This window comes from Homo sapiens, chromosome 4, assembly GCF_000001405.40.
Source record: "Homo sapiens chromosome 4, GRCh38.p14 Primary Assembly".
NCBI classification, from domain to species: Eukaryota; Metazoa; Chordata; class Mammalia; order Primates; family Hominidae; genus Homo; species Homo sapiens.
In genome coordinates this window covers 128,034,425-128,047,408 of record NC_000004.12, presented here as the reverse complement: position 1 = coordinate 128,047,408, position 12,984 = coordinate 128,034,425, and the positions used below count along the sequence as shown (strand labels likewise).

Below are 12,984 nucleotides of genomic sequence, written 5' to 3'. Positions count from 1 at the left end.
TGTGTTTAGCTCAGGGTTTGTGAGTGCACCAATCGACGCTCTGTATCTAGCTGCTCTGGTGGGGCCTTGGAGAACCTTTGTGTCCATACTCTGTATCTAACTAATCTGATGGGGACGTGGAGAACCTTTGTGTCTAGCTCAGGGATTGTAAACGCACCAATCAGCGCCCTGTCAAAACAGGCTACTCGGCTCTACCAATCAGCAGGATGTGGGTGGGGCCAGATAAGAGAATAAAAGCAGGCTGCCCGAGCCAACTGTGGCAAGCCGCTTTGGTCCCCTTCTATACTGTGGAAGCTTTAGTTTTTTTGCTCTTTGCAATAAATCTTGCCACTGCTCACTCTTTGGGTCCAGACTGCTTTTATGAGCCCTAACACTCACCGGGAAGGTCTGCAGATTCACTCCTGAAGCCAGCGAGACCAAGAGCCCACCGGGAGAAACAGGCAACTCCAGACGTGCTGCTTTAAGAGCTGTAACACTGCGAAGGTCTGCAGCTTCACTCCTGAGCCAGTGAGACTACGAACCCACCAGAAGGAAGAAACTCAGAACATCAGAAGAAACAAACTCCAGACGCGCCACCTTAAGAGCTGTAACACTCACCGCGAGGGTCCGCGGCTTCATTCTTGAAGTCAGTGAGACCAAGAACCCTCATTTCCAGACACAGTATTTTGTTACGCGTAAAAAAACACATAAATTTCAAATTTTTTTTTTTTTTCTGAGATGGAGTCTTAAAATTCAACCAATGTAGTGGCTCGATGTTGGCTCACTGCAATCTCAGCATCCCAGGCTCAAGCGGGTCTCCTGCCTCAGCCTCCGAGTAGCTGGGACTACAGGTGTGCACAACCACGTCTGGCTTATTTTTGTATTTTTTCAGTAGAGACAAGGTTTGGTCTTGAACTCCTGACCTCAGGTGATCCACTACCCTTGGCCTCTCAAACTGCTGCAATTACAGGCATGAGCCACTGCACCCAGCAAAATTCAAATTTCAATTCCATAAATTAAATGATGTTGGAACAAGACCATACTTATTCATTTATGTATTGTCTATGGCTGTTGTCACACTACAACAACAGAGTTGAGTAGTGGTAACAGAGACTTTATGTTGTGCTATCGTCACTTTATATTGCTGCAAAAAGGCAATAAAAAGGCAATATAAAGAAGGGCAAATAACAGGAACAGAATCAAATAGAATTCTATAAATTGCCTTTCAAATGGTGAATATGTTCAATTAAAAGCATTTCCTGGTTGGGCGCGGTGGCTCATGCCTATAATCCCAGCACTTTGGGAGGCCGAGGCGGGCGGATCACGAGGTCAGGAGATCGAGACCATCTTGGCTAACACGGTGAAACCCTGTCTCTACTAAAAATACAAAAAATTAGCTGGGTGTGGTGGTGGGCGCCTGTAGTCTCAGCTACTCGGGAGGCTGAGGCAGGAGAAAGGCGTGAACATGGGAGGTGGAGCTTGCAGTGAGCCGAGATCGCGCCACTGCACTCCAGCCTGGGCGACAGAGCGAGACTCTGTCTCAAAAAAAAAAAAAAAAAAAAAAAATTTCTTGGCTGGGCGCCCTGGCTCACCCTTGTAATCCCAGCACTTTTGGAGGCCGAGGCAGGCAGATCACCTGAGGTCAGGAGTTTGAGACCAGGCTGGCCATTATGGTGAAACCCCATCTCTACTAAAAATACAAAAACTAGCTGGGCATAGTGGCAGGCATCTGTAATTCCAGCTACTCAGGAAGCTGAGGCAGGAGAATTGCTTGAACTTGGGAGGCGGAGGTTGCAGTGAGCCAAGATGATGCCACTGCACTCCAGCCTGGGCGACAGAGCGAGACTCTTGTCTCCAAAAAAGAAAAAAAAAAATTTGCTTTTAGATTGATATCAGTATTTGACAGTACCTATCTGTGTGGAGACATTTTCAAAGCTGAAATATGTAAAATTTCATTACAGATCAGTATTAACAGATGAATATTTCCAACAGATTTTGATGATAGGGAAAACAAATCTTGATCCTCAACTAAGTGAATTGTCTCCTCCAAAAAGAATCCCATTCTTCTCATTAGTAGAGCTATAGTAGAAACAATAATTATTATCATATTTTGAATTTCATCAATAAAAATTTGTGGGCATTTATTTTCATCCTCATGTAAGTACCTAAATTATAGCCTCAATTTTGGGTGTTGGCCTGCAAAGCCTAAAATATTTACTATCTGGCCCTTTATAGGTGAAGTTTGCCAACCCTTGATCTAGATCATGGTAAATCTCAACATTGACTCTACATTTTTTATTTTTTTGAGGTGGAGTTTCACTTTTGTCACCCAGGGTGGAGTGCAATGGCGTGATCTTGGCTCACTGTAACCTCTGCCTCCTAGGTTTAAGTGAGTCTCCTGCCTCAGCCTCCTGAGTAGCTGGGATTACAGGTGCCCACCACCACGCCTGCCTAATTTTTTGTATTTTTAGTAGAGACAGGGTTTCACCATGTTGGCCAGGCTGGTCTCGAACTCCTGACCTCAGGTGATCCACCCACCTTGGCCTCCCAAAATGCTGGGATTACAGGCGTGAGCTACCATGCCTGGCCTTGACTGTACATTTAAATCACCTCAAGATTTTTTGAGGAAAAAATGCCCTTGTAGGGGGCCCCCTTCTCAGAGGTTCTGATTTAATTAGCCTGGAGTATAGCTTGGACATCAATATTTATTAACAGCTTTCTGCTGAGACTCAAATCCGTAACCAGGATTGAGAACTATTGGCCTAAATGATGCAGAAGATTGTATACTAGTTGTTTTAGAATGTCATTAAGACGAAAGCATGTACTTTTTTTTTTTTTTTTAATGAGATGGAGTCTCACTCTGTCACCCAGGCTGGAGTGCAGTGGCGTGATCTCGGCTCACTGGAACTTCCGCCTCCCAGGTTCAAGCAATTCTCCCACTTCAGCCTCCCGAGTAGCTGGGATTACAGGCGTGCGCCACCACGCCCGGCTAACTTTTTGTATTTTTAGTAGAAACGGGTTTTTACCATGTTGGCCAGGCTGGTCTCAAACTCCTGACCTCAGGTGATCCACCCACCTTGCCCTCCCAAAGTGCTGGGATTACAGGCGTGAGCCACCTCACCTGGCCGTAATTTTTTAATTCTAAAAAACAACTCTCAGAAGCATGTGGAACCCAGTTTGAAAACCACTGGAGAAGATCATAAAATTTCTGCTTAAAATTCCTGCTTAAAATTCCTTTCTAATATGGTTTAAAACTACAAGCTGGAACAGTGAAAAGAACACTACACTTCAAATCATTCTGCAAACTTTGATGGAACACTTAGTAATGCCTCCAACCGTGCCAGGCACTGAGGGCATAAAAATGAGTAAGATCTGCTTCCTTCACAGACTGGGTATGGAGGGGGTGGGACACAATTAACTAATTATTTAAATATAATGAAATAAGGGCTGTGATAAAGGAAAGTACTAAGTGTCACAGAAATAACAAAATTAGGGGCCTTAGCCCCAGCTAAGAGAAATCTCTGGAGGGCTGATTGAAAAGGAGGGGAAGGGGAAGAGTTCTGGCTCTACCATTAAACTAACAGTGAGGATCTCATCAAGTACCTGAATGCCTTTCACTGTGTTTTCTTTTTATAAAATAGATATAGTTCAGGCTGGGTGTGGTGGCTCACGCCTGTAATCCCAGCACTTTGGGAGACCGAGGCGGACGGATAACTTGAGGTCAGGAGTTTGATACCAGCCTGGCCAACATGGCGAAACCCCGTCCCTACTAAAACTATAAAAAAATTAGCTGGGCGTGGTGGCATGTGCCTGTAATCCCAGCTACTCAGGAGGCTGAGCCAGGAGAATCGCTTGAACCCGGGAGGCGGAGGTTGAAGTGAGATCGTGCCATTGCACTCTAGCCTGGGCAACAAGAGCAAAACTCCGTCTTCAAAAAAAATAAAAAAAAGAGTTAAAGGATTTCTTAGATGAAAAAGTTTGAGAACCATTGTCCAATGTCCTCTTCCTTTCCTAGGCTGTCCTCAAAATCTCACCCATGCCTGTAACATCAGTTACCATCTAAATACTAGTGATTAGGAGTTTTTATCTCCTGTTCAGGCCTCTGCTTTGAGCCTCCAACTGCCATGTTACTGTCTAGTTTTAGACATATAAAAATCTGTATGGGCCGGGCGCGGTGGCTCACACCTGTAATCCCAGCACTTTGGGAAGCCAAGGTGGGTAGATCGCCTGAGCTCAGGAGTTCCACACCAGCCTGGGGTAACATGGTGAAACCCTGTCTCTACTAAAAAATACAAATAATTAGCGGGGCCGGGTGGCAGGCCCCTGTAGTCCCAGCTACACAGGAGGCTGAGGCAGGAGAATCGCTTGAACCCAAGAGGCAGAGGTTGCAGTGAGACAGGATCGTGCCACTGCACTCCAGCCTGGGTGACAGAGTGAGACTCTGGCAAAAAACAAAACAAAACAAACAAACAAATAAAAACCAAAAAAAACCAAGGTATGTGCCAGACTAGATTTTTAATCTGTATTCTCACACTAGTTTTCTTCCAGGGTTCTCTATCTCTTTGAAAAGTACCACCCTCACCCCCCCAACCTACCATCATCTCATCACCTGTATTATCTCTGAAATACATCCAGATTTCTTCATATCCACTGCCACCATCCTAGTTTTAGCTATCATCATGTTTCACCTGGCCACGTTGATGACCTTCTAGTTGAAACATTTGCATGAACTATAGGCCCCCTTCAATTGGTTCTCCTCATTGCAGCCAGAGTGAATGAGCTTTTCCAGATACATTTTTTCTAATGATCAATTGACAATCTTTTTTTTTTAAGTTCTGGGATACATGTGCAGAACGTGCAGGTTTGTTACATAAGTATACACGTGCCATGGTGGCTTGCTGCACCCATCAACCTGTCATCTAGGTTTTAAGCCCTGCATGCATTAGGTATTTGTCCTAATCCTAAATTTGTCCCAAATACATCTTAAAATGTATTTAAGACACATGTTAAATCAATGGAGAAAAACCTTTAATGTCTTCCTGTAGCTCTTTGCATAGAGACTAAAATCCTACAGGACCCTGCATAATCTAGTTATAGCACTTCATTAACAAAGTATTTTCAGGAACAAATTTTGCTAAACAAGTTAAACTCTGATCAATTTCTTCATGATGCAGTTAAGCCCATTTCCACTTTCATACTAATTGTTTTTTTTTTGTTGTTGTTGTTGTTGTTTTGAGACAGAGTCTCGCTCTATTGCCAGGCTGGAGTGCAGTGGCGCGATCTCAGCTCACTGCAACCTCCACCTCCCGGGTTCAAGTGATTCTCCTGCCTCAGCCTCCCAAGTAGCTGGGACTACAGGCGCCTGCCACCACGCCCGGCTAATTTTTTGTATTTTTAGTAGAGACGGGGTTTCACCATGTTGGCCAGGCTGGTCTCGATCTCCTGACCTCGTGATCTGCCCGCCTCGGCCTCCCAAAGTGCTGGGATTACAGGCGTGAGCCACCAAGCCCGGCCCATACTAATTGTTAACTAATTTTCTTGGGATCAATTCTCATCCCTCTTAATTTTGTATTTTGAGTTTTCTTTGAAAATCTTTTTTTTAACTGATTTTTGTAGGTCAAATTTGCAGATCTAAATTTTGTCAAATTTTGGTGCATCTATAAATTTTTTAGTCAACATCAGTTTATTTTTATTTATCTAGAGATGGAGTCTCACTCTCTCGCCCAGGCTGGAGTGCAGTGGTGGGATCTCGGCTCACTGCAACCTCTGTCTCCAGGGTTCAAGCGATTCTCCTGCCTCAGCCTCCTGAGTAGCTGGGATTACAGGCGCATGCTACCGCACCCAGCTAATTTTTGTATTTTTAGTAGAGACGGGGTTTCACCATGTTGGTTAGGCTGGTCTCGAATTCCTGACCTTGTGATCCGCCCGCCTCAGCCTCCCAAAGTGTTGGATTACAGGCGTGAGACACTGCGCACAGCCTATGTACTTTCTTAACGGTTCTCTCTAGGATTACAGGCGTGAGCCACCGCGCCCAGCTATTTTTATTTGTTTTTTAGAGAGGGCCTTGCTCTGTCACCCTGGCTGAAATGCAGTAGTGCAACCATAGCTCACTGCAGCCTTGAACTCCTGGGTGCAAGTGATCCTCCTGCATCAGCCTCTTGAGTGGTTGGCAGTACAGGCACACAAGACTGTGCCCTGCTATGCCTAACTTTTTTTCTTTTTTCTTTTTGAGACAGAGTCCTGCTCTGTTGCCCAGGTTGGAGTGCAGTGGTGCGATCTTGGCTCACTGCAACCTCTATCTCCCAGGTTCGATTCTCTTCCCTCAGCCTTCCAAGTAGCTGGGATTACAGGCATCCGCCACCACGCCCGGCTAACTTTTGTATTTTTAGTAGAGATGGGGTTTCATCATGTTGGCCTGGCTGGTCTTGAACTTCTGACCTCAGGTGACCCAGCCACCTCCGCCTCCCAAAGTGCTGGGATTACAGGCATGAGCCACTGCGCCGGGCCACTTTTCAGATTTTTTGTATCGGTGCTATCTAATAGTTACTAGTTACATGTGGCTATTCACATTAAATTTTAACACTTGAATGTTAAATAAAAAATTCAGGTCAGGCGCGGTGGCTCACACTATAATCCCAGCACTTTGGGAGGCCGAGGTGGGTGGATCACCTGAGGTCAGGAGTTCAAGACCAGCCTGACCAACGTGGTGAAAGCCCATCTCTACTAAAAAATACAAAATTAGCCGGGCGTGGTGGCGCATGCCTATAATCCCAGCTACTTGGGAGGCTGAGGCAGAAGAATCACTTGAACCTGGGAGGCATAGGTTGTGGTGAGCCAAGATCGTGCCCCTGCACTCCAGCCTGGGCAACAAGAGCAGAACTCCGTCTCAAAAAACAAAAAAAAAATTCAGTACCTCAGTTATGATTGCCTCATTTCACATGATCAACAGCCACATGTGACTAATGACTACTGTGTTGGGTAGAGTGGATGGAGTACTTTTCTGTCACTGTATAAAGTTATATTGGACAGTGCTGTTTTATACTCTTATTTAATGGTTGCTCACATGACCTGTTACCTCAGTCTGTTTGGGCTACTATAAAAGAATACCTTAATTTGGTGGCTTAGACAACAGATATTTATTTCTCACACTTCTGGAGCTGGGGAGTCCACCAAGGTGCTGGCCGATTCAATTCCTGGCTTATAATTCATACAGTCATTGGTTTCCTAGGATTTTGTCTATAAGAATATTCATAGAATTAGGCTATTTTACTGCAAAGTGGCCAAATGACCTTTTTCCCCTTTGTCTAATCTACCATAATCTTTCCTCACCTTTCCAAACGCAGTTACTATTATTAACATATAGGAGACTCTATCTAAGACTCCCATTCCCAGTCTAACCTAGATTTTGTTTGCAGTATATTTATTCATGAGTGTAAATGTAATCACATTCAACATTGAGCAACATTGAGATAACTATGGTCTGTAAGAATGTTTATTTCCCTCAGATCACACATATTTGGGGAAAATTTTGGTTATTTTTATAGAGATACTGATACTGTTCTGCTAGAGCCTCCCTTGCTTATTTCTGTCTTACCTTGTTTAGGGCATAATAACAAAGAGGGAACATATACACTCAGTTCAAGTTTGGGTACATTAATCAAATGTGACATGTGTCTACCGTATTTACAATAATACCTCTTGAAAAAAAGCACAAATGATTAGCTTTTTAAATAGACTTTTACTGTGAAATATAATAAAAGATTTGGAAATGATTTTTAAAATTTCAATTACAGTGTTAACAATTCAATTATCTTTATGAGAGAAAGCACCACATTACAAAAATACAAAGAAGGACTCTAAAATGCACATGCTAAAATGACTTAATAGTAATTACATTAGCAAATCATGAAATTCAGAACCTTTTTCTAATTACAGATCTAAATCAGGGGTCTCAAACTTAGAGGTCTTCAGGGCTGAGCAGGAACTACAAAGTAGAGAAGTTGTCTGATATAAGAGGGAAGTCCAGTAGGCTGTGGCAAACTGGGGAACACACACCCAATCAAAAGACTTTTCAAATTCAAACATTTTTGAAACATTATGTACATCTAATAAAATAACTGTGGGTCAAACTGGCCTATGTGAACTACCAGTTTACAGATCTGGTCTAAATGAATTTCTAATATTTTATGTAGTACCTAAATCCTCAAAATGGCAGATAAATGGCAGACCGCACTTCTTTGAGATTATATATATATATATATATATATATATATATATATATATATGCATATGTGTGTATATATAATACATATATATACGTACATACATATATATACACACATACGTGTGTGTGTATATATATATAAAACGTATACATATACGTATATGTGTATATTTATGTATTTGAGAACACTTAAGCCACCATTTTGGGGGGAATAGATTAAAAAATCCTAAGAAAAGTTATTTTGCACTTTGAATTCTTCAACTGAGGTAGTTTTAGGGATATATATATATTTTTTGAGACAGAGTTTTGCTCTTGTTGCCCAGGCTGGAGTGCAATGGCACAATCTCGGCTTACTGCAACCTCCGTCTCCCGGGTTCAAGCGATTCTCCTGGCTCAGCCTCCTGAGTAGCTGGGATTACAGGCATGTGCCACCACGCCTGGCTAATTTTGTATTTTTTTTAAAAATTTTGTATTTTTAATAGAGATGGGGTTTCTCCATATTGGTCAGGCTAGTCTCGAACTCCCAACCTCAGGTGGTCCCCCCACCTCGGCCTCCCAAAGTGCTGGGATTACAGGTGTGAGCCACTGCACCCGGCCTAGGGATATATTCTTAAAACATCTGGTTAAGAGATGAAATTTTAAAAATACTTTCTTTCACACTTTATTTGAGAAAAGTTAGTTATGCCTAAGAATTAAAACTAAATCAACATTTCATTTTTTTAACAATAGAAATTCACACAACATAGTACATTATTGCTTAGTAAGAAATGTTTATGTGAACAATAATAAAGTATTTGTTTTACTAAAACCATTGTTCAAAAAGCATTCAATCATATAACCTCACTATATACATAATATAAGAAAATCGTAATTCAGTTGACAAGTTTTATTTTAAAAAGTATTTTGTGGAAGAACTTTAGTAGATGTTATACTTTTGGTTAAAACTAAAGGTTCTCATCTGAACATGTAAAATTGCTTATAGCTCAAAGAGCTGTACAGTGTTGGCTTGTTATGCCAAAGTAGTTTGAAAGAAGTTACTACTTTGTCTACCATCAATAACTTCACATTAATAATTTTTAAATATTTGTAAAAAATTAAGATGATAGAGGCATAGAGGTGACAAATGAAATCTCCTTTAAAAAGACTGCAAAGGCACATTATAATTCAAATATCGTTAGTAGACTAAGAATCCCTATTTAAAAATAATTCACAGACAACACAGATTTCAAACAAAACTCAAAAATACCTACTGTAAAACTTCACACAATACCCTAAAATATTTTCGACTTTTTTAACATTTTAGCTGACAGCTAGAGAAGTTTAACATAAAAAGAAAGCACCAAATCGAGCCATATAAACCCCATTTAAGAGAGTTAATAGCTATTACATAAAACTTTAAATATTTTCTGTAAAATAAAGTTTATATGGGACAAATCAATTGCATATGTGTCTATTAAATTTTGAAATTAAAAGCCAAGGCTGTTAAGTATTTGGGTAGTTAGATGGTTAGCAATCCAAAGAATAAGCATATAGAAAAATGTAATTAAAAAAATAAAAATAAAATGTCAGGTCGGGTGTGGTGGCTCAAACCTATAATCCCAGCACTTTGGGAGGCCAAGGCAGGCATATCACTTGAGGTCAGGAATTCGAGACCAGCTTGGCCAACATGGTGAAACCTCGTGTCTATTAAAAATACAAAAATTAGCCAGGCATGGTGGCGGGCACCTGTAATCTCAGCTACTCAGGTGGAGGCAGGAGAACCGCTTGAACCTGAGAGGCGGAGGTCGCAGTGAGCCAAGATCATGCCACTGCACTCCGTCAGTTAATGCAACAGGTCTTCCAATGTTTCCATTTTTGTGAATTGAAACTTTTTAGTAGGGAGAAATAAGTTTGGCATTTTGTTTTGTTTTGAGACAGAGTCTTGCTCCTTCTCCTAGGCTGGAGTGCAGTGGTGCGATCTCCGCTCACTGCAACTTCTGCCTCCCGGGTTCAAGCAATTCTCCTGCCTCAGCCTCCCGAGTAGCTGGGATTACAGGTGCCTGCCACCATGCCCGGCTTAATTTTTTTTTTTTTTTTTTTTTTTTTTTGAGATGGAGTTTTGCTCTGTTGCCCAGGCTGGAGTGCAGTGGCGCAATCTCAGCTCAGTGCAACCTCCGCCTCCTTGGTTCAACCAATTCTCCTGCCTCAGCCTCCTGAGTAGCTGGGATTACAGGCACACGCCACAATGCCCGGCTAATTTTTTTGTACTTTTAGTAGACATGGGGTTTCACCATGTTGGCCAGGCTGGTCTTAAACTCCTGACCTTGTGATCCGCCCGCCTGAGCGTCCCAAAGTGCTGGGATTACAGGCATGAGCCACTGCACCCGGCCTATTGGCATTTTTTAAAAACCCTAATCTTTAGTAAAGTTTTAGTCTAGCAAAGTCTAATGCATTTTATCTGCAGAACACTCATTTTGGTTATTATTATTATTTTGAGACGGAGTTTCACTCTTGTTGCCCAGGCTGGAGTGCAATGGTGTGATCTCGGATCACCGCAACCTCTGCCTCCCGGGTTCAAGCGATTCTCCTGCCTCTGCCTCCTGAGTATCTGGGATTATAGGCATGCGCCACCATGCTTGGCTAATTTTTTGTATTTGTAGTAGAGAGGGGGTTTCTCTATATTGGTCAGGCTGGTCTTGAACTCCCAACCTCAGGTAATCTGCCCGCTTCAGCATCCCAGTGCTGGGATTACAGGCGTGAGCCACCGCACCCTGCCACTCACTTTGATTATTAAAAGCACTTACATTCAAGTAGAGGTACATGTTAAAAGAAAAAAAAAAGAAAAAGAAAAGCACTTATCTATGAAGCTATCAGGATATTTTAGAATTCAAAGTTAACACTGATTTTATATATCATAAGTATTTATTTCCACAGCAGAAAATTAGTTGAACACAAGAACATTCAAAAAATAAACATGTTTCTCAAATCAAGTCAAGAGTGAAATGTTATAAGGGTACAAAGTAAATGCTGATATATTAAAATCTTGGTTTGATTTAGCAATTTTACTAAAACCCAGAAAAGTTTCTATGAATAAATTTATTTAATTTAATAAATTATTCATGATTAAAAATTTAGTTTTTCATAAACAGTAACAACAGACTAAACACTGAATATATGGGATTCCAATAAACAATAGTAAAAACACTTTAACATTATTTACTTCAAATATTATCTTGAAATTATTCAAATGTATTCGAAGTTTATAGTTAACTGATGTGTAACAATGAATTCCAGACCAAATTGATAGCGATTAGATATATTAGTGCTGTCTGCTTGTCCTTCACATGATCACAGGATGAAGCTCCCTTTTGTAAGAAACATCATGGCCACACTGGTTACATATAATAATCCAACTAGTTAGCGTATTTATGGAGGAAGCGGTCAAATGCATCATAGATGGCTTGTCTAAAATTAAATATGAAAGAAAAACTCTAAGTAACTAACAAAAAGGGGGGACAAACAATGCCTTTACTGTAAGTTATTTCCAAATTTATCTGTGGCTTGCAACTTGACATCCTCTCTAAATAGCTATGAAATAGGCAGTTACCCTCCCCAGAATGGGTGTTTGAATCCATGTAACTTTTTTTTTTCTTTTGAGACAGGGTCTCGCTCTGTCGCCCAGGCTGGACTGCAGTGGCATGATCTCTGCTCACTGCAACCTCTGCCTCCCGGTTCAAGTGATTCTCATGCCTCAGCCTCCCAAGTAGCTAGAATTACAGGCATGCACCACCTCACCCTGCTAATTTTTTGTATTTTTAGTAGAGACGGGGTATCACCATGTTGGCTAGGCTGGTCTCGAACTCCTGGCCTCAAGTGATCCGCCTGCCTCAGATGCATGCAACTTTACCACCACTACCGGAAAACCTCAAATATACTTCCAATTTATGAGGGATCTAAAAGCATTATCTTTTTCTGAAGCACTTTTTGTGCCTTAGAATATATATATTCATACATACACGCACGCACACAGAGGCACATGTGTGTAATGTGTATAAAATAAATTATGAAAGAAAAAGGAACTGATTTATTGTCTTATCGCTTCGTTGAAAATTAATTATGTAACTTTTCAGAATGTAAGATTCTGTTTCACAGATTATGATATAGATGTTTTTCATTTACTATGAACATGTTCCTAGCTACTTAAAATCAAAAGCCTTGGTTTCTCACATTAACTTTACCAAGTATTTTAATATTTCAATTGAAAAGGAATAGACAGGCCGGGCGCGATGGCTCAAGCCTGTAATCCCAGCACTTTGGGAGGCCGAGGCAGGCGGATCACCTGAAGTCGGGAGTTTGAGACCAGCCTGATCAACATGGAGAAACCCCGTCTCTACTAAAATTACAAAAAATTAGCCGGGTGTGGTGGCACATGCCTATAATCCCAGCTACTCGGGAGGCTGAGGCAGGAGAATTGCTTGAACCTGGGAGGCAGAGGTTGTGTGAGCTGAGATCACACCATTGCACTCCAACCTGGGCAACAAGAGCGAAACTCTGTTTCAAAAAAAAAAGAAAGAAAAAGAAAAGGAATAGACAAATTTTATCTTCCATAAGATATTTTTTCTTTTCTTTTTTCTTTTTTTTTAGAGACAAGATCTCACTATGTTGCCTAGGCTTGAGTGCAGTGGTTACTCTCAGGTGCAATCATAGCACGCTGCAGCCTCAAACTCTTGGCCTCAAGCTATCTTCCCACCTCAGCCTGTTGAGTATCTGGAACTACAGTCCTGCGACACCCTGCCCCACTC

The 12,984-nt window shown here is 41.5% G+C and overlaps 1 protein-coding gene across 11 annotated transcripts in view; it reads right to left on the bottom strand.

Moving 5' to 3' along the window:
* Positions 1-7,455: 7,455 nt before the first annotated feature.
* ABHD18 (abhydrolase domain containing 18) overlaps positions 7,456-12,984 on the bottom strand; it is a 74,548-nt gene continuing 69,019 nt past the window's right edge. For all 11 annotated transcript variants that reach the window (NM_001366042.3, NM_001358454.3, NM_001366038.3 and 8 more), the window contains one exon: positions 7,456-11,647. In NM_001366042.3, the coding sequence (NP_001352971.1) occupies positions 11,596-11,647 (52 nt within the window). In that variant the 3' untranslated portion in view covers positions 7,456-11,595. The remainder of the gene's footprint in view (positions 11,648-12,984) is intronic.